Source organism: Homo sapiens, chromosome X (assembly GCF_000001405.40).
Source record: "Homo sapiens chromosome X, GRCh38.p14 Primary Assembly".
In the NCBI taxonomy this organism is placed as follows: Eukaryota; Metazoa; Chordata; class Mammalia; order Primates; family Hominidae; genus Homo; species Homo sapiens.
This window is the reverse complement of record NC_000023.11, coordinates 86,675,930-86,699,414: the sequence shown is the minus strand read 5'-3', so window position 1 is coordinate 86,699,414 and position 23,485 is coordinate 86,675,930. Positions and strand designations below refer to the sequence as shown.

At 35.2% G+C, this 23,485-nt stretch overlaps 1 protein-coding gene across 8 annotated transcripts in view; it reads right to left on the bottom strand.

Moving 5' to 3' along the window:
• DACH2 (dachshund family transcription factor 2) overlaps nucleotides 1–23,485 on the bottom strand; it is a 684,152-nt gene that overhangs the window by 133,188 nt on the left and 527,479 nt on the right. For all 8 annotated transcript variants that reach the window (XM_011530846.3, NM_053281.3, XM_017029254.2 and 5 more), the window contains one exon: nucleotides 4,236–4,394. In XM_011530846.3, coding sequence (XP_011529148.1) covers nucleotides 4,236–4,394 — 159 coding nt within the window. The remainder of the gene's footprint in view (nucleotides 1–4,235; nucleotides 4,395–23,485) is intronic.

The window sequence follows — 23,485 nt, the reverse complement described above, 5'->3', positions numbered from 1 at the left end:
CATGATTGTGAGGTCTCTTTAACCATGTGGAAGTGTAAGTCCAGTAAATCTCTTTCTTTTGTAAATTGCCCAGCCTTGGGTATGTCTTTACTAGCAGTGTGAAAATGGACTAATCCATGGTCTATCTTAGAAAATGTGCCATGTGCTGACGAGAAGAATGTAAATTCTGCATTTATTGGGTAAAATGTTCTGTAAATACTTTTAGGTCCGTTTGTTCTAGAGTTCAGTTTAAGTCCTTGTTCACTTTCTGCTTTGATGCTCTGTCTAGTTCTGTCATTGGAGTGTTGAAGACGCTCACTATGATTGTGCTGCTGTCTACCTCTTTTCCTAGGTCTAGTAGTAACTGTTTTATGAATCTGGGAGCTTCAGAGTTAGGTGCAGGTATATTTAGGAATGTAATATCTTCTTGTTGGATGTATCCTTTTATCAATATATTAATATAATGACCTTCTTTGTCTTTTCTTCACTGCTTTTGCTTTACAGTCTGTTTTATCTGATATAAGAATTGCTACTCCTGCTTATGTTGTTTTTATTGTTTGAACAGACCATTATGTGTTAGATTAAGAATTTTTATAAATTGGCTGGGCACGGTGGCTCATGCCTGTATTCCCAGCACTCTGGGAGGCCAAGACAGGCAGGTCTCTTGAGACCAGGAATTCAAGACCAGCCTAGGCAGCATGGCAAAACCCTGTTTCTACTAAAAAATACAAAGATTAGCTAGGAGTGGTGGCACATGCTTGTAGTCCCAGCTACTGGGGGATGGAGGGGGTTAGTTGAGAGGCTCACCTGAGCCTGGGAGGTCAAGGCTGCAGTGAGCCATGATCACACCACTACACTCCAGCCTGGGTGACAGAGTGAGACCCTGTAAAAAAAAAAAAAAAAAAAAAAAAAAACACAAAACTAACAAAACAAAAAGAAGAAATTAAAAAAATTAATTTATCTAAATTTATTCCTCCTCTAGTGCTCTTCCTTTCGTTACATAAATCAAACTTTCCAAAGTATACAATTTTCTTTTTTTCTGAAGATGTTTCAATGTTTCTTGCGATGCAGGTCTACTGGTATGGTAACAAATTACCTCAATTTTTGTTTGAGAAAGTTTTTATTTCTCCTTCACTTTTAAAGGGAAATTTTCCTGGAGACAGAATTCTAGGTTTGTGGGGTTTTAAATATACATATTTTTAATTCTTGTGGTTAGATAGTAGGGGTATACATTTATGGTGTTTTCTTTTTCAACACTCTAAATATTTCATTCTACTCTCTTCCTGTTTGCCTGGTTTCTAAAGAGAAATCCAGTGTAATTATTATCTTTGTTTCTGTATGAAAATAAATTTTTTTCTCTGTCTTCTTTCCAGATTTTCTTTTTGTGATTGGTTTTCTGCAGTTGGAATATGATATGGGTATTTGTAGATTTTGGTATTTATCCTACTTAGTGTTTGCTGAACAATTTGTGGTTTGGTGTTTCTCATTAATTTTGGAAAACTCTCAGTCATTGTTATTTCAAATATGTCTTCTGTTCTTTCATCTTTTTCTTCTCTTTGTCACACAGTTCTTAGTCTATTCTGTTATTTTATTTCAGTCAACGTTTCTCTTTTTTCAGCTTGGGAAGTATGTGTTGAAACATCTTCAAGCTTACTGATTCTTTCCTTGGCTCTGTGTATTCTATTGATGATTTCATATAAGATACTCTTCATTTTGTTGGAGTTCTTTTTTTTTTATCCCTAGCATTTTCTTTTGATTTTTTCTTAGGGTTTCTACCTTTCTGATTAGCTATCTCACGTGTTCTTCATGATGTTCATTTTTTCCATTCTCTTAGTATATTAGTTGTTTTTTTAAGTTCTCAGTCTGATAATTCTAAAATATCAGCTATGTCTGAATTTGGTTCTGTTGTTTGCTCTGTCTCTTCAGATTGTGTTACTTGATTTTGTTTATGTTTGCATTTTTTTTCGTTTAAAGCCAGAAATGATGTAATAGGAGAGACTGAAGTAAATAGGCCTTTGGTGATAGGTTTTATGCTGATCTGGCTGGGAGTTAGGCTATCATAAATGGTTGCTCGACCTGTGGCATTAGTGTCTACATTTTCCTCTAGTCTTGTTTCTCTCCTCCTTGTTTTTGCTTCTCCCTAGAGAACCTGTCATAAATAGGGTCTGAAAATTCCAGCTCTTTAAGCTGTAATCCCCCTTTGTTATACAGGAGCACTACTGTGGCGATAGTTAAATGTGAGCAAACAAACATTCTATAATCTTATGATTAGGTCTTAGTCCCTTAGTGAGCCTGTATCCTTGGGCTGTGACTTTCACAAGTGATTTTTAGCTCCCATAAGTCCTTAGGTGAGACAGGAGGCTTAAGGCTGCTGGAATTGTACTGTTCTTTTCCCCTCACATAAAAGTTAGAGGGTGTTGGAGGTTAGTATATCCCTTTCCCCAGGTCAGTTAGGCTCTAGCAAAACCAAGTAGTTTACCCTCTGGTAAAACAGTTTTCTTTGAGGACAGGCCTTCAGGAGAACAGAGCACTATGAGCATGTTTCAAAGTTGTTACTTTTCCTTTCCCCTTACTAGAAACATGAGGGGAATTTTATCATATCTTCACCCTGAGAATCTGGTATGGCTCCTAGAAATAAAACTCATGAAAGTGTAGGGGCCCCATAAGACAGGGCCCCCATGAGTTTTTGTCTCTCGAGCTAGATCTACAGTGAGTCTCCTGCAATTACTCAATTATCTTTTAAATGCTTCTACCAGGATCTAGCTGTGGCTTCTTCTCCTTATGAGCTGTGCTGCCTTTCTCTCTAGTTTCCAGCATGGTGGAGCTCTGTGACCTCAAACTCTGATGGCTTTAATAAGTTAGATTTTCAGTTTGTTTATCTTTTTTCTAGTTGCAAGGATGGGAGTAATGACTTCCAAGCTCTTTACATGTCAGACTAGAGGCCAAAGTCTTCTAAATTACCCTCTTTATAACCTGAATCTACTTTAATCAGTCCTTTTTTAACTTTTCATAACATAATATTTATAACTTTTCTGGCATTCCTTTCATTTGCTTTTGCTTAACATTTCATTTTGTATGGGACATTTTATGCTTGAGATTATAACCACTTTAAAGTATCACACCATAACTTATTTTTGTATGCTTAATAACTGACCAATTTCACTAAGATTTGGAACATCATATTAAAATGTCTTAGAATTCCTCTGTTGCCTTCATCCTAAGGTAGAATGGGAGAATAAAAGTGTCAGGGAAGAGAGTAATGAAACCCTATCCTGGATTATCCATTTGTAAGAAAAGTAAGATATATACAAAAGTAATATACACAAGATCTGCTTTGCTGCAGAAAGACTTGTGAGTCTTTGAAGTCCCTAAAACATCATGTAAACCTGAATTTGTATACATTAGCTATAGTGTGATTGCTAAGTAATAATACTACTTGTGATATATATAGTACTTACTATATGCAATTCACTGTTAACATATTTTATTTTATTATCCTGAGATCTCACGGTAACCTTAAGTGGATGTATTTTTATCCACAGTCTATAGTTGTGGATATTAAGACTTGGAAAGGTTAGGTGACTTCTCCAACGTCTAACAATGATGTAGAATTCAAAACATGTGGCCGGGTGTGGTGGCTCACACCTGTAATCCCAGCACTTTGGGAGGCCTAGGCGAGTGGATCACCTGAGGTTAGGAGTTCAAGACCAGCCTGGCCAGCATGGTGAAACCCCGTCTTTATTAAAAATACAAAAAAATTTAGCTGGACGTGGTGGCAGATGCCTGTAATCCCAGCTACTTGGGAGGCTGAGGCAGGAGAATTGCTTGAACCAGGAGGCGGAGGTTGCAATGAGCCGCGATCACGCCATTGCACTCCAGCCTGGGCAACAAGAGCAAAACTCCATTTAAAAAAAAAAAAAGAATTCAAAACATGTGGAATTCAAACACAAGTTTGTGTGACTTTAGCCAATATTCTTAACTACTGTGCTACATAACCTCCCATGTACCTCTACTTATGTACCTCTACTTTCCACGTACCTCCCATGTACCCTTATATGTATTTAAGATTTAACCATTTAATATCAGAAGGGGAGGTAAAGAGGGAAAGTGAGTCCTTCTTTACCTCCCCTTCTGATATTAAATTGTTAAACTTTATTGAAGAAAAATAGACTAAGCCCTGCCAGCCAAAGGTTTCTAGTAGGTCTTGGATAGTATTTTGTTCAACACACCCAGTTTTGTGAGGACAGTATACATACTATTGGTTAGCAGGTGGTTCTGCTGCAGTGGATTGAGGGTTGGAGCACCCCCAATGCCTGGCTGGCCAGCTAGGGCTGCATGAGCAATTCCATGTTGGGGTCCAGGTGCAGCAAATGGAGACTGCATCTTATCTTTATCCCAGGAGGATTCACTTCCACCTGAAAAATATTCATATAAACATATTTCAACTTGACAACTTTCATAAGAAGGCTTTTTAAAATTCCCTTTTAGGGCTGTAATCATGAATACTACCTCTTAGGAAATTATTATTGAACACAGTTAACTCATTTTTATGACAGTTTCAAAAACTTTCAATAGTCTAGAGATGTAAGCTGCCTCTGGGAAGGCCAAATCATTCTCAATAATAGTATAGGCACTCTTGACTTGTTGGTAGTCTCAACAAATCTGGAATCATAATGAATAGCTTTTAGAAGCACTTACATGTTGAGGAACATTAATTGACCACCACTGCCTTGTATTCTAAACCTTTAACATACATATACTATATTTTAAAGGACTGTACTGATCACTGAAAAAGAACACACTCATTTGTAAGAGCATGATAACATGCAAAAATACATGGTAAGAAACAAAATGATCTTTTCTTCTCAGGTCACTCAGAGAAGCAAATCTATTCATACACACTAGAGTTTTGTGTAAAATAAGCTGGACAAAAATAGGAAACCATTGCTTCCAGTTTGAAATTATACTTACCTTGATCCTTCATGCTAGAGAGTGAGGTAAAGTGTGTATAAATGCAGAATACTATATTATCATGATCTACATTGGCATAGCTATTTTATCTGGTATCTAGCATACTATGGGGGATAGAACCATTGCTTAAAACCATATGGAAAACAAACACAGAATAATTTCCAGGGCATTCTTTCAAGAGAATACTTTAAACAGGGGAGTAAAGGGTGGGATTCCAATCACTGCAGGAGCACATAGTCTGGCTTTAGAAAACAAAATGGTTGTGCAGGCAGCTTCATCTATTTGCTTGATGTGCTTCATTCATTCAGGGGTCAGTGGTTCTGCCTCCATTCCCATGCTGGGACTGCAACATTAGCACTCTACCTGGCTGACACCATCCCACTTACTGCCTAAAACTCTGACACTGTGTGTGGGGTTTAGGCTTGGGACTCTTGGGAGCTCTGTAAAATACGTATATTTAATGTTTTTTTTAATGTAGAAAAATCAACATACTCATATCCGCAACATTGAAAATTGTGTTTATTTTCACTTCTTTGAGTTCCCTCCCACACTTTGTTCATATGGATACCCATTTTTACATTATAAGCAGTCTGTCATGTTGCTTCATATCTACAAAGTGTAATGACTATCAAACACTGGACATTGCTTCCAATTGTCACTATTATAGTCTACATTATAACAAAAACATTCATTTAAATTATTTCCTTAGAATCAATTAATTCCCTGAGTGGAATTTGAGTCAAAGGGGACAAACATTTTTATACTTTTATTTCAAAAACCACATTTGCAAAAGCAGTTTTGAGAGTTGTAAACTTTTCAGGGAAATGTCTTCAGGCCCAATTGGCATTCCTCCTCAAGATTTAACATTTATTCAAGCAAATTACATGCTAAGAATCTCTGAAAGGATTGTTTAAGCTTCCTGTCCGCTCATCCACTTTTACTCCAGTCCTGAAGAGGAAGAACCTTACTCCAGTCCTCCTCTTCAGTATTCTTTCAAGCTCTTTTGTGGCCAAAGTCAATCTGTAATCCAAAAGTGAGAGTCTTGACTAGCTTCCAACTAGATGAGCTGAGATAAGGAAACACTGGATTCTAGCACAGTATATGTAAAGATTGAAGGGTATCTGGCCCTGCTGATATGGACACAGATTTTCCAATCAAACGTGGGAAGAAATTAGCAGTTACTTGTTGGGGTCCTGCTATAAGCCATTCAGATAAGATGGCATGAAAGCTTAGTATGTAGGAAATTTGGTTGAATTTGATAGACTGGTTTAATGGACCAGAAATCATTCCCTTGATCATGTTGAGGTCTGCTATGTTCATTGAAAACATGCAATACTTCTATGATTACCACTTGTTCTCTCTTTTCATCCAGATGTTGGCTGTTGTACAGCATGTGCTTAAGAGCAGGGAGGTAATTTATGGTTTGGTGCATTGACATATTTTAGTGTTAACAAATTTGAAGTTTCAATTAAAATCAATAAGACATTGTTATACTGTAATGAAGAGAGATGGTGGGGGAAGGGAGTATTTTAATAAACTATGAAAGTAACCACTGCAACACTGAGAATTCTTTATAGAAACATTAGGCCAATAAACATGATTAATACCAGAAAATGCAAAAATTTGAAAGATCAATTGCTGAGCAAAAATGGAAGCACTACATCATTTTAGCACTATGTTCAAGATATGAATTACCTCACCATTGCAGAACTGTAATTTATAAAATGAGCAAAATATTGACAAAAGAAGATACATTTAGAAGACATTAAATTATACAATATGATAATAACATAGTACTGCACTATCACAGCAGCAACAGCAACACAGCAATATTGGAGCTGAGATTATATCAATATTTATTTTATAAATTTAAAACTGTTTAGTCTACATTTAATATGAAATGGTACATTAGGTAGTATTCTCATGGTTTGTGTATCACATTTTCCAAATAAGCTTGAATAGAAATGTTTTTAAAATCTTATCAAAGGATTTCAATGTGGTTTTGTGTATGTTTTGGTGAGAACTTTGGATACACTTTTTCCAACAGCTCACACCTTTGTTAACTACTATGTTAATGACAGAAAAGGTGGGGCGGGTGGAGGGGGGAGGGGTAGCATTAGGAGATACACCTAATGTATGACGAGTTAATGGGTGCAGCACACCAACATGGCACATGTATACATATGTAACAAACTTGCACGTTGTGCACATGTACCCTAGAACTTAAAGTATAATAATAAAAAAAAGAAAAGGTAGTTTCCATCTCCTCCCACCTCCACCAAATGTGGATGTAAGTATTATCCTGCAATGTAACGGCAACTGTATATGAATCGAGCGGCTGAGGAGTGTGGAACATTCTAGATATTTGGATTAGGAGGTATGAATGCTCTGAACACATTTTTGTCTTTTGACCTAAATCTCTCATCATTTTTAAGTGTAAACATTAATTATGACTCAATCTGGAATGTTCAGCGGCCCCAATATTTGCATTTTTTATGCCTCTTTGTCAAGATGCAGTAATACCCATTGCCCTTAAAACTAGCAAAGTATTTTGACTAATCTAAGCTACAGTCAGCCTTTTATTAACCACTATTTTGAAGGCTTGGGTATCCACTTTCCTCATCCTATCTATCTGTCTGTCTGTCTACCTCCAAATGCAGTAGTTAGCTAAGGCTGCCACAGACAGGATGGCTTAAACAACAAGAATTTAGTTTCTCACAGTTCTGGAGGTCAGAAGTCCAAGATCATGGTTTTGGCAGGTTTAGTTTCTCCTTAGGCTTTCCTCTATGGTTTGCAGATGACTGTGTTTTCCCCTATGTCCTCACATGCTCTTTCCTCTGTGCGAGTTCATGCTTGGTAACTCTTTTATGCACAAGTTTCCTCTTCTTATAAGAACTCCAAGCAGACTGGATTAGAGTCCACTCTAGGCCGGATTTATTTATCCATTTAAATTGTTATTATTTTTAATTTTTGTGGGTACAGAGTAGGTGTATATATTTATGGAGTACCTGATATGTTTTGATACAGGCATGCAATGTGAAATAAGTACATCATGGAGAATGAGGTATTCATCCCCTCAATCATTTATCCTTTGAGTTACAAGCAATAGAGTTAGATTCTTTATTTTAAAATGCACTTAATAACCTCCTTAAAAGCCTTAGCTACAAATACAGTCACAGTTCAAAGTAACTAGGGGTTAGGGCTTCAATATCTGAATTTTAGGGGTACATGATTCAGCCCATAACACTAAAGTATGCACATTTGTCAGAACCAGACCATACTAGCTTTGTGAGGGAATTCCTCCAGTAAAGAGGAGAGAAACTGAACAGCATTTTTAACAAGGCATGACTAAGAGGCTAGCAGGGTAGGCAGTTGGCTTGGGAAAATAAAGTAACCTCTTTAAGTCTTCAAGAAATTTTGTATTAAGTATAAACGTAACCCAACACAGTCCTAAGTATGTAAAGATAATGTAGAAAATGGAGCAAATCCTCATTAACTGAATAATTTATTTGAGCTTTTCCATATCAACTACTTATCACTGTTTTAGCACAATATTTAGTAAAACTAAATTGATGACAATAAAGAGTGTAACACAATAAACAGTACTACAAGCAACTATTGCTACATTAACACTAACTAATTTAATCCCAACTTTACCAATAAGAAAGCTAGAGAGAACTACATTTTTTATAAGCCCTTACTTCGTAGAAATATATATTCTTAGTTAGAATCAGTGTAAGAACAATAAAGTGATTCACTATGGGGAAATATTAATTTAACAAGGCATCAGACAAACTTCTGTTGCTTTAGTCAGAAACTCTTTAGTTTGCAATTTAGACCTTTTTAAAAAACTCATTTTAAAATGTTAGGGTTCCCAGAAGGTTATTTGTTTTTGTTGCATTTTCTTTGTAGGATAAGTGGGTAGAGGACAGAGACCTATGAATCATGGGGACCTTACAACAGAAACATGGAATTTAAGACAAAAAAAGGACCTTTTTATCCACTTAGTTAAAAATAATAACTTGAAAAAGGAGCAGGAGCATATTATGGGTGGGACCCAAAGCAGTATTTTAATGTTTTAATTTGCTAAAATTTTGTCTAATTAGCACTTCCGCATTTCCCATTCTAATAACACAATGCTTATTATGGTCAGGTTTGTGAAAAGCAATAGCAAAGATCATTATGATGTGTTCCAAACAAATTAGCATAAGCCTACAAGCTAAAACACCCAAACACCAAAATGTTTCAAATGGGTATAAAGGAAATCCAGCAGTAAGGTTCTAAATAAAAATTCCAAGCAATCATTCTTCACCTTAGCACCGTGTTGTTAAGAATGAGTGAAGGAAGCTAATAAAATATTCACTGAAGAGAATCAAGACAATTTAGTAAACAGTCTTCCTCATCCACCTATAGGGATCAGTGATCCTCTTTATAAATGCATAAGCTTTAATTTCTGTAGGTTTGAGTTTCTAAGACTACTAGAATTGTGTGAGTCATATGCAAGAGTTTCATAATATAAAAATGATCTCTGTCTTATGAATTCAAGTGGAGTGTAACTTTTATTATTTTAGAGGAATACTATAGTAGCAGTTGCTACTACATTTTGCAATGTACAAATTTAAAAGCCACCTACTAGGAAAAATATATAAGGTAATTATTAAATTCAAAACTATGGCCTTAACTGTGAAAAATAGAAGTGTTTATAAAAAGCTGTACTTACATTGAAACTTTTCTAGCTACAACAAAACATATAAGTCAGATTATTTGAAAATATGGGTCTAAATTGATCATGTTTCCAGTAATCTTATGTGCATAAGGCAAAGAAAAAGAAGCCAAATGGGAAGAGGTCTATGTAGCATACAGCCTAAATCGAGCTTGTTCTCTCAGCCATAGAATATTTGTTTAGCTAGAATCTTAGATAAATGCACATTGTTTGATGAATCTACACAGCATGAAGCATTTTGTAGTAGAAAAATATTTTAAATCATAATTAAACTTTAAAGACTTCATTTTTTGTAAATAATAATATAGTATAAGTGTGTGTAGCGGGGAGGTGTACACACACACATATAGACACAAATTCAGGGTTTAGTGTATTGTAAAGTGCTAACACATGAATGGAAAACGAGGCATGTATGTGTAAAGGTGCTATACTCTACAACCTTATCATATTATTCTTTTATTTGCTTTTCCTGTATGCATTCAGAAAATAGAATATTCAGCAGTTTATCAGACCGGTGACATCAGTAGTGCAATCATGCACTGTATCTGAAATTTGAACCAATATGGATAGAAAATAGATAATAATTATTCATTTTAAAATATTGAGAAGGTCTCAACTAGTTTATCTCCTCTTTTACTTTAAAACATTACCTAGGAAGAGCCACACCACAGGGTGATGGTCTAGGAATTTCAAGTTTAATCAGAGGTATAATAGCAGCTAATTGATGAGCCTCTAGGGCTGCACTTGCCAATATAATAGCCACTAGTCACCTGTGGCTATTTAAATATAAGTTTTAATTAATTAAAGTAAAGTAAAAAGAATGAAAAAATTCAGCTGCTCAGTTGCAATAATCACATTACAAGTGCTCAAAGTCCACATGCAGCTAGGGACTATCATATTGGGAAGTACAGATATTGATAATTTACTTCCTTGCAGAAAGTTATACTAGAAAGTGCTATCCTAGAGGATAAGCAGTTTGTGTAAAACAATTTAAAACACAGGTATCTACAGCATCTTCAATTCAACATGTCTGAAACTAAATTGACCATTATTCAATGAAAGAGATCTTGCTCCTTTATTTCCTGTATCTGTTAGTGGCATAATGCAATTGTTTCAATGGGAAATTTTTGAGTACTTAACATGTGTCAGGTGCTATTTGCAGGTACTGAGAATATAGAAATAAAAGGCAAATCCCTTGCCCTCAAAGATCTCTCAGTCTAATAAAAGTATCATTATCATCTCTTTAACCATTCACTCTGTGCTTAAGTGGCCAAATTATCTGGAATTGACTTTACACTGGGTTCCCTTCCATTCCCACTGACACTGCCTTTGTTTGAACCCTCATTACTCTCTCACATTACAATCATCTCAAGAGACTCTTAACTGACTTTCCTACTACTAGCCTCATCTCCTCCAATTGGCCCTTGACATAACGACTGAAATAAACATGAAAAACAAAAATAAAGAAGATGGAGTATCAGAAAGGACAATTTAAAAAGAAGAGAATAAAACTGAGCAGAGCAGTACCCAGGAAGAAAGAAAAGAATACCTTGGTTGCATGACCAGAATGTTTATATACAAACCTTCAAAGGGTTCTAAGAAATGTGCTAAGACTCTGAGAGAGTGTGATGGATGGACCAACTTGCACTACAAATGTTGTATGAATACATAAGCATTATCTTCTTTCTTTCTTTTTTTTTATTATACTTTAAGTTCTAGGTTACATGTGCAGAACGTGCAGCTTTGTTACATAGGTATACACTTGCCCTGGTGGTTTGCTGCACCTATCAACCCGTCACCTACATTAGGTATTTCTCCTAATGTTATCCCTCCCCTAGCCCCCCACCCTCTGACAGGCCCCAGTGTGTGATGTTCCCCTCCCTGTGTCCATGTGTTCTCATTGTTCAACTCCTACTTATGAGTGAGAACATGCGGTGTTTGGTTTTCTGATCTTGTGATAGTTTGCTGAGAATGATAGTTTCCAACTTCATCCATGTCCCTGCAAAGGACATGAACTCATCCCTTTTTATGGCTGCATAGTATTCCATGGTGTATATGTGCCACATTTTCTTAATCCAGTCTATCATTGATGGACATTTGGACTGGTTCCAAGTCTTTGCTATTGTGAATAGTGCCACGATAAACATACGTTTGCATGTGTCTTTATCATAGAATGTTTTATAATCCTTTGGGTATATGCCCACTAATGGGATTTCTGGGTCAAATGGTATTTCTGGTTCTAGATCCTTGAGGAATCGCCACACTGTCTTCCACAATGGTCAAACTAATTTACATTCCCACCAACAGTATAAAAACATTTCTATTTTTCCAGAACCTCTCCAGCATCTGTTGTTTCCTTACTTTTTAATGATCACCATTCTAACTGGTGTGAGATGGTATCTCATTGTGGTTTTGATTTGCATTTCTCTAGTGACCAGTGGTGATGAGCTTTTTTTTCATGTCTGTTGGCTGGCTGCGTTATCTTTACAGGCAAACCCACCAACCAAACAAACAAATGAAAAAAATCAAACAAATGACTCTATACTTGTATCATCACCATGATCCAAAAAGATCAGGAGTCAAATTCAAATGTTTCAAAATTAATAGTGAACAAATTTATTTCTGGATTTAAAAGGAACTGATGCTTCAAAGTAGACTTAATAATTAAAAAATATAAGTACTCACCACAGGCTTACTCAAATAAATTGCACCTAACTCATACATATTTCTAAAAATAGGGCTAATATGTTTCACGAAGTAAATGTAAAATTCAAGGAAAGTCCCAAAATCTTTGTTTCTAAATTAAAATGTTGCAAGATGTAAGTATTCCCTGAGTGCCACTTTAAAGCACAGTGGCTAAAACTTAAACATCACATTATTGAGTTTCAAAGATTAGTTTAGTTGTAGAAGGAATTGTATCACAAGTGATGAAGGCACAGTGCTCTTCCATATGACCTGCTGAGTGTGATGATATAGTTGGAGAAACTCTTGCAAACTATTAGTTTGCATAACTTAAAATACACTCTGGTTAAAAGATATTTTATTGTAGACATGAAGAAAATGGGGTTTTGCCAGATATTATTTTGCAATTTCAAATGATAATCTTATTCACTCTCCTATGAAACCCCCAAATTTTTAAATTGTCATATTTATCTTGGTATTATGTTATGTTGCCTGGAGCAGAAGTTTTTTTAAAAAAATACCCTTCAATTACTGGGCATGGTGGCTCATACCTGTGATCCCAGCGCTTTGGGAGGCCGAGGCGGGTGGGTCACGAGGTCAGGAGATCAAGACCATCTTGGCCAACATGGTGAAACCCTATCTCTACTAACAATATAAAAATGAGTTGGGCATGTTGGTGCGCACCTGTAGCCCCAGCTACTCGGGAGGCTGAGGCAGGAGAATTGCTTGAACCCAGGAGGCAGAGGTTGCAGTGAGCTGATATCATACCACTGAACTCCAGCCTGGCGACAGAGTGAGACTCCGTCTCAAAAAATAAATAAATAAATAAATAAATAAAATAAAAATACCCTTCAATTCTATCTAAGCTCTCTGCTGTGGCAAGTACAGAAAAATTTGTTTATGTGTGACAAGACACTTTTTGGAAATTTGAATTCATTTCTTGCTAGTGTAAGTATTGCAAGTTGAAAGACTCGAAAAATCTGAGTTCAAGACAGTGATAGCATTTTCTTATCTGAATTTGAGTTCCTTCTTTCATTCTTAATAACATGTGGTCTGTCTAAATGACAAACATATTATCAAGTCACTTCGCAGTAAATAATCATGTAATACCACCAATATAGCTTGGATATTTGTCCCCACCCAAATCTCATGTTGAATTTTAATTTCGAATGCTGGAGGTGGGGCCTGGTGGAAGGTGTTAGGATCATGGGGACGGAACCCTTATGGCTTCGTGCTGTCTTCCTGACAGTGAGTGAATTCTTGCAAGATTTAATTATTTTAAAGTGTGTGGAACCTCGCCCTCACCCTCTCTTCATTGCTACTGCTTTTGCCATGTGATGTGCCTATTCCCCCTTTGCCTTCCACCATGAATAAAAGCTCCCTGAGGCTTCACCAGAAGCCAAGCAGAACCACCATTTATCGTTTTCCTCTTTTGTCATATTTCTGAACTATTGAACAATTACTGAGAATACAGGCAAATTATTTATTTTAAAGAGCTAGTTCCTAGAATTTATAAGCTGTGACATGTGCTCTTGTAAGATATATCTTAAATTGGAGTTACTTAAAATGAGGTTATGCATACCCTAGAAAATGTAAAAGCTGACCTACAAAGATAGAGCAAGATATTTGAGTTTTAATATTTATTTTATATGTAACCAAAAAGTAAGTACAACATTATGTGTCACTAATATTTAAGATATGAACCATCACTGATGCCTTCACCACTCAATCATTAGAGGAATCCAGAGGAAAAAAAGAGTAGGAGTTTTCAGCAGGGCAGTGGTTGGCCATTGGCAGCCCTAGACTTTTATTTATTCTGACCTCATTGTGATATGTTCTATGTACACTCAACTGAGTGGATTCAATAAACTAGCCTTTACAAAGTGAACAACACAATACAACCTCAGATTGAAGACAATAATGCAAGCACAGGAGAAGAGATATAAAATAGCAGAGCTGATACTTCTACTCAATGTAGGAACTCTGTCACCTTCATTAAGAAGTAAAATATTGTAAAGGTCATCAGTTTTGATGTATTAATCACATTGTCCTCACTGATACTAAGAATATATGTTTTAAAAGTTTTATGTAATTAATAAAATTTATTAGTTAAAATCTTGTTTAATCTTCTTAATTATTTCTATTTAATTTCTATTTTGTGTGCATATGTTAGTACATGTATACAGCTCGAAATTTACTTTATGTATACTAAAAGAGCATACTTATTATTTACCTGATAGAGTGTATGAACATAGAGTTTCAATGACTGCCTTGAATTACAAAAAATTTAAATGGCACAAATTTACAGTTTTTTTCATAATCAATCAGAAAATTTTTAAAAATATACATTGTAATATTATATATTTACAACACTCATTTTTCATAGATCAACTAAGAAGATGAAAAATTAGTGTTGTAAAAGTGTAATATTATGGATGTATATTTACCTACTCATAATATAATTTAAATAGATTTATCTACTTGTAACATAATTTAAGTATATATACCTACCCATAACATAATTTAAGTATATATACCTACATAATTTATTTTCCTACCCATAACATAATTTAAGTATATATACTTACCCAAAGCATAATTAAAGTACTTTTTCTATTACACTGTTAATTTAACCAAATACGCCATGCTTTAGAAGCTAATGAATTAAACCAAAAAGCAGAGGGCAAGACTGGCCACATAGAAGGAGGCAGAATAATTCATCTCTTCTTTTTATCCCTGCACACAAAGTAATATCATTTCTGTAGGTATAAATATCTTCCTGTCAGTGCAATTCTTACAGCTATCAAAAAATTATTTAGGGAAACCATAATGCAGTCTCTAGACAACAGAATTCATGTTGACCAATAAATCGATATGAAAGCATTATGATCTTTTGTGGCCAATGGTGAGAGTTAATTATTACTCACACAGAAAGTTTTCTTGTTGAGATTTCAGCTTGTCTGTATGCTTTGGAGTGGCGAGGTTAAAGTGATCTTACTTGACTGGTAGTGGTCAACTGGCAAAGTTCTATGAAAGTGGCAGATAGAGACCGACGCAAAATAGAGAGGGAAGAATTGTATCCTTCAAAAAATCCTAATAGCATAGTGGAAGGAGCATCAGACAGACCTGATGTTGAATTCTGGCCACTCTATTTAATATCTATGGGCTTTGGAAATGACATTAGGGTTCTTTGAGTCTGAGTTTCTTAATATCTGATATGGAAATATAATCTACCTACTCTAGGGTTGTTTTAAGGATTAAATGGGACAGAATATGTAAAGCAATACAATATCTAGACATATCAAGCACTAAATAAGTGTAAGCTGTTATCATTTAAGTTTTTTTAGAATATAAAGGACAAAATAGGGTATTAACTTTATTAACTTGTCTATAGGGTGACTACCTTTTTAACTATACTACTAACAAAAGATGATGAAGACCACTAGTGACCCCAAGAATTAAAGGAATAATTTGCAAAGGTAAAGCTCTATTATTTTTGCAGTTAACCACATTAATTTTCATGGCCATGTGCAAAAAACTTGTTGCTCTTAAAGCAGATTGTATAATAGGATACAGTAAAACACTGAAAATGAGGACTCCAGATACGGCTTTACTAGGCTACTTCTAATAATGTATCAAGTGGTTCAGCAGTGAGACTAAACAACTATATATAGCCTGTTCTCCTCTTGAGAAAGCAGAAGCAGATGGCTCTTTGTTTTTTCTCTCTGTACAGAAAAGACTGGGTTTGGCTGGTAAACATTGATTATTAATCCTAGGACTTCTTAAAAGAAGAATGATAAGAAAGAACAAAATATTTAATATGAAGAAAGAGGAGAAAGTTGGTAGAAATAATGGAGAATAACTTTTGCCAATAATTTTCATATTGCTGTAAACTGAATACAAGATAAAACAAAAGATAAGAGGAAAGAGGCAAGCATACAACACGAACATGAAAGACACAAAAAAGAAAGAATTTAGGCAAGAAAAAAATAATCATTTTACCCAAATAAAGATAAAACTCGCAGACTCAAATTCACAGAAATCTATAAAACTGGGGAAAATATGACAAATTGAAATACATGGCAGAGCCTGAAATAAAAATACAAAGAGAAAGAAACATGTTTGTTAAGCTGAGGCATTAGACTGAATAATTCTAATTTTATCACCAAAAATTATTCTATATGGAAAAAAAGGATAAGGAAATACAGTTTTTTAATGAAAAATAAAAGTAGAAGAAAATGGAGTAGAAGTAAAATAAATCAATAGATAGAATCAATACATAGCAAGTATAGATTTGACATGGAACATTCACTGGCTCTGGGATCTTAGTGCCTATGAGTGTATGGAATGGATCTTTCACTTGTATTACACTGGGGCTTATGAATTACTGCTGATGATATCAAAGAGATTCATAAATGGATTTTATCACTACACTGAGTAATTAAAACTATAATTATCAGTTACCGGCTGCTGCTTACAAAACACTTACCACATATATGTCTAATACCTGTGAAAATCACATTCACTGAACACACACTGTGAGCCTGAAAAACGCTGAAAGCACACTGGGCACTTGACGTGTGGTAGAAAGTATTCACCTAATCCTCAGAACACCATGTGATAGGTGCTATAATCAGCCACATTTTATAGAGAAAACTGAAACTCAAAAGACTGATTTTCCCACGCTTGTACCACCAGTAAAGAATCAAACCAGGAAAGACTCCAGAACACACACACTAAATCACTATCCTCAATTGTTACTGATACGAGGCATATAAGTGCTTTTAACTGAGGCTTTGACTGTGAATGTGCACAGTTTAGAATCTGAGGAACAAAATGAGGCACTTTGGTGAAGAGAGCTAAGAAAGCGGTAGTTTCAAGGATAGGCTTACTAGACTAGGCTGAGATCTGTAGTGGGCAGACCTGGGAATCATGAAGTATTGAAGGCCTTCAGAGAAAATCCCTCAATTCCAAGTGGCATAGGAAAGCTACTTTCTTATTCACGTCCCTCCTTTAAAGTGAAGTCTTTTTAAAATATAAATGATATGAGTCAATTATGGGTAGTGTTTTCTCTGTCTTTTGAAAATGAGGGTAAGGCTGCAAAGCATCTGAAGGAAAAGGGCCAAGTTGATGCCTGAAGAGAAAAGAGTGGGAAAATAATGGTATTTCTTGGAAGCCAATCACTAAAAGAAGGATAGAACATACAAGGCTTAATTCCACAATTGAAAACAATGATTTAAGTGGAAAAGGCATTATTACTACATCCAATGTGATTAATAACACTTCTTTAATGATCAGAAAAAAATACTAAAAGCCATGGGCTTAAAGTAATGAAAATATATCTAATTCAGAATACAATAAAAATGCCACAAGTAGACTATATATATATAATTATATATAACATATATATATGATATCATGTATATCATATATAATTATATATATATATAGAGAGAGAGAGAGAGGGAGAAAGAGAGAGAGAGAGAGGGTCTCACTCTGTCACCCAGGCTGGAGTGCAGTGGTGCAATCATGGCTCACTAGAGCTTTGAACTCCTGGGCTCAAGTGATCCTTTCAGCTCAGCCTCCCGAATAGCTAGCAATACAGGTGCGCAACACCATGTCTAGCTAATTTTTTCTATTTTCTGTAGAGATGGGGTCTCACTGTTTCCCGGGCTGATCCTGAACTCCTGGGCTCAAATGATCCTCATAAAGTGCAGGCATGAGCCACTGCAGCTGGCCGAGAAAACTTTTTAAACACTGTTTTTATTATACTCAATTCCTGAACTTCTCTTTGAGCAGCTAAAATTATTTTTCAAGTAGTGTGCTAGACAAGCATTAGGAATAAGATTGTCTGCTTTTCTTGACCAAAACAAGAGAACACATCCTTTTCAAGTTGCAGTTTTGTTAATATGAAATGCTTACCATATCATAAAGAAACAAATTCAAGAAAATTATATCAAGCAAGATAGAAAGGAGTCAGACATATAGATAGATAGATAGATAGACAGACACACAGATAGATAGATACATAGATACATATATAGATACATAGATGCATATGGAAGGCATAGTATCCAATCCCTGTCTACTGATGTTAGAAATGTTCGAGGGCAGCTGGATGCAAGGACTGACACCAGTAGCAATGTGGGAGGCTGAGGCAGGAGGATTGCTTAAGGCCAAGGGGTCAAGACCAGGCTGGGCAACATAGCATAGCCCCATGTTTACAAAAAATAAAAATCAATTAAAAAAATAGCCAGCCATGTGGTATGCATCTGTAGTCTCAGGTACTGAGGCAGGAGGATAGCTTGAGTCCAGGAGGTCAAGGCTGCAGTGAGCTATGATCTCACCACTGCACTCCAGCCTGGATGACAGAGTGAGACCCTGTCTCAAAAAAAAAAAAAAAAAAAGAAATGAGTCATTATGAATTCAATAATTAAAATACATTTCCTGTTTGAAAAGGCCATTAGTTTCTTTTAAATAAAACAATGATGAGTATAGTTAAAATATGCACAAAATTTTCAAGTGATTAAGCAGAAGCACTGACTTGCTTTCCAAATGGTCATTCAACACACGTTAGGCAACAGGGCAGTAAAAAATAGTGTCTGGTAATTTGTTTTCATTCCAGATTGTTCCTTTGGACATATTTTTCAAAGAAAAGTATCAAACATTGGATTAACTTATGCAATTTAATACATTAATAGTTTAGCTGCAGTTTTCACTACCTGCACACAATAGATGGATGTTTACAAAATATGATTATATATTTTGTGCTAATGGCTGGATGATAATTATATCTTTAAGAACTTTTAGTTTCTCCAGAGCAGTTACAATAGTTGGAAAAGTTTTAAAGCATGCAGTTATGTTTCAATATTCAATTTCAAAATTCAATTAGATTTGGAAGAGAGAGGAGAAAGATTGATCTTAACAACAGTACAATTTGAGATGTCTGGATCTTTTTAAAAAACGGAATATTTTGCCATCATTAAATTATTTGAGTTGGTCTCTTCATACTATGTATAGTATGCTAACAAGAGAGGGAGTAGAATATAAACAAATGAGTCTATTTTGCCTAAATATAAAAATCTTGTGAATCACTAATAGACTAGGTATTCTTTCACATACAAGCCCGAATTCAGTTGCACAGTATAATTTAGTATGAGATTCTCTATTGGCTACAGCCTACCAAATTTTAATACATAATGACCGTTAAGCTCAGACCCATTCCTGTAAGGAGGAAAGGTTAAATATGCACCAGCACACCACACAGGCTCGGCTTATTAGGGTTGGCAATGCAGCAAAAGTAGCAGACACTTACAGCAAAATAATGTGTGATGCTTTTGGCCAATTTACAGACTTGTTTCCAAGGCTGACAACCTGGCATGGTAAATATATTTGGGAATACACACACACACACACACACACACACACACACACACACACACAGAGACAGAGAGAGAGAGAGAGAGAGACATATAAAACCTATGCCTGGCACTGAAAGCGAAGTCTGTATGCTACAGTTTAACTTTTTGGAGTTTTATAAAATAATAGTAACTTCAAAGTTAATAACATTGCAAAACTATTGGCATTTTAAAGTTTTCATGTGTTGAAAATATTTGTGCATTGTCAACAATAGCAATATGTATGTTTTAGAACTTTGTAGAACAGAAAACAGCACACATCCGAGCTCAAAGTAAAAAGAAATAGTTCTTCATAGATGTGTGTGGGGGTAATTCATACCTACGCATTCACACAAACTTCCTAAGCTCTGCCGTCCTAACAATGCACAATATACAGAGTAGCCTAAGAAACTGGATTTCAAATCAAAAGGCCTTAAAAGCAAGCAATTATTACCTTCCAAAGTTGATTAATGACTCAATTCATACAGTCTTACCTCATGCAGTCTAGACAGTTCAGACATATTTTATAAAGTAAGTATAAAAAATTTAAATTATTGTAGAAATGGAGGTGGGAAAGAACATTTGTGGGATATAACTTGGGTAGGACTGTGTAGGACAGGGAGGATGGTGGAAGATACAGTTGCCTAGGTGTAGCCAAAGAAGGAGAGGATAAAAGGACATGGAGATCTGGAACCTAAGATACCAAGGGAACAGGCAGCTCCATAGTTTTGTCTACTTTTCACCTTCTCTGTTTCTGACCAAGAAATCTAATTTGTGTTCATGCAATTGAATTCAGCACCAATATGTAAATGACAAAGATGAAAGGGATACCACTACTTAAAGCAATGCTACCTATTCTAGAAAATATCAAAGATAAATCAGCTGGCTCTTTTAAAAAGATCTATGACTTGATAATAAAATACTTGAAAGCAGCCTATTTTTTTTTATGTTTCATTTTAATGATTGTTCTTATTTATTTATTTACTCATTCCATCTATGTGATAACATCTATAGTTCATATGCTCCTGAAACTCAAATTCATAAAAGCATACATAAGTTATGTGATTATTTCTGCAAAGTACCAAATCTATTATTGAATGAAAATAAATTATTTACATTTCTATTATAGTATTGATATTTCTGTAAATGACACAAAACATTAATTCTTATTGTCTTATTTTTACCAAGTGAAAACTGTAGTAATTGTAAATGTTTTCAAACATTCTTTTCTCACTAACATGTTTTCTTTTGGCTGTTCAATTTGTTATCCAATTTTGAAACATATTTCCAATTTGGCAATGGACACAATAAATATTTCACAGTCTGTTATTTGATTGGAAAGAAAAATAAATAATATTTTGTCTTTGAATACAGAACATGTATGCCTTGCTTCAAATGGAAATAGGCCACTGATTATCATAAAATATCATGGTCTGAAAAAATTTCATGGTTACAGTGCTCAGTGGGAATATACTATCTAAAAATGTATTATTTTAAGTTGGTGTGAACACCTGCACCCTTGTATTTTTCTTTAAAATCTGGGTTGCATTTTTACCATGTACCACCTTGATTACCTTTAAAAAAATATTAACAGCTTGCATCCTCATACCAATGCCCAGTTACAAACTCCAAATGTTTTGTCACATTTCTTCTGAGCAATGCCATCTGCCAGAGGTGGCATTCATGGCTGTTTACCCTGACTCCCTCCAAGTATTCATCTGCCACTATCTAATGCTGCCTGAATAAAGGGGATTAAGACTCTGATGCAACAGAGACTATTGATAATTTGGTATAATTGGGAAGAAATGAAGATAAATGAGGTTGAGGATGGATAGGCAATTAGTTGAGCTGCCTGTACAGCTGTGTTCTCGGCCTAGCTCCCCTGGCCTTTTCTTCAGTGAGGTATGTGCAAATTAACCATAATGACAAACACACACTTCCCAAAGCTCTTATACTTTATAAAACTTGAGAATTCACTTTTCACTTCTGATAACTCAGTTAGTTGTTTGGTAAAGTTGTTTCTCACACAGTCTCTTAATGTCCTAATTACTGAGGGCTACTACACCTGTTATACTTTAGGACTAATATCCACCTCCAAATACCCAAATTCCTTGCTTTCAGTTGTTGTCAGGCAAGTGTTTACAACCTGAATACAGTGAGAATCTGAAGCCCATTTTACCGTAATTGTGGTCCAGTGTTTAGGACAAATTGGCAGTTCTTTCATTTTTACATGATTAGAAGCCAAGAGAACTCTTCAGAGTGAGTGAAAAGCAGCTTATCTTTTAATTTTAGGAGAATAGTGTGCAAATTGCATTCTTTTTGATAGTTTGTGATGAAAAGGCAGGGCCAGCTTTACAAACATGCTTTAAGGCATCTTTAGAGATTGGCAAAACCAGTATTTTCTAAGGTAAAATTTACATATTTATATTAAGCTTGTTATTTTCATTATTATGCTTCCTAAATGAAAATGGCAACTCTGTCAAAAGTTAAGCACAAATATGTTTAGGCAGCGACTAACTTAAAATATGAAATCTCTTTTTCTAACTACAGAAATGGCTATGTTGGGCATTTAGTTGAGGATGCTAACATAGAAATTAAATATTTTGAGGTGCAGTATCTCCGTTGATATTTTTTCTCTATTTTGCCATGTAAAAATTATTCTTATTATCTCATTTGTAAATATCTCTGTGTGCCTTTGAATTGTTACTTCTTGTGAGAAAACAGTAAAACTAAACTAATAAATTTAGAATATGTAACTGTACTAATCTAGTGTGGGGTGATGGATGCCTTTGCCCACTCTATGAAAAGGAATGTGGCAAGATAAATGCTTTTTCAATCTGTGATTTGTTTCGCTCACAAAACCAACAACCTAAAAGTATTTATTTCAAAACAAACGGTATGCTAATTACAAATGTTGATCAATTCAGGCATATACATGCAGTATGAGGACTCTTTATGGTTACATTCTTATTTCTTGAAAACACAAATTAAATTGTTTGTTTTTTATCTGAGCTGTGTCATATAGTAGCCGCTGGACACATATGTCTATTTAAATTTAAATAAATAAATAAAATGAAAAATTCAGTTCCTCAATCACACCAACCCTACTATGATGGACAGCATGGAAGAACATTTCCATCATCGCAGAAAGTTCTATTGGTCAGTGCTGGTCTGTATTTCAGAGTTACTGCCACCCCATTCATACAAACTAGTGAGGTTGAACTGTAGGCAGACTAGGGATGTAAGAACAGATAAATCAAAGACAGAGCCTTTAGTTTACAAAGGGATTCAGAATTCCTTCAATTTTCTCAGGTGGAGTGCTAGAAGCTTCAGTTTCAATAGGCTTAGTTGATAAACATTAGAAAAACATTATGGGTGTGTTTACAAAGCACCAATGTCTTTTTAAGGTTTTAAGGAACTTTAGAAAAGGTTATTCTTCAGCTAAATATCTGCTATTTTACCCACAATTTCCCTTACATAGCCAAGGTATGTAGTGTGACAATGGCAAGTCATCAGATATAAGTCTTAGGTTATTACTTATTTAAGGTGATGACCATAAAATCAAAGAAATAATATGCTACAATTTCTGGGGAATACTTTGGAAATTAATACTATGCTCAGCTAGTCTGAAAATATTACATGCACATGTGTATGTGCACACACATGTTCAGCAATACAATTCTAAATAAAATCAGAGCAGATTAATATTTTTATCGGAAATTATTTTTCACTG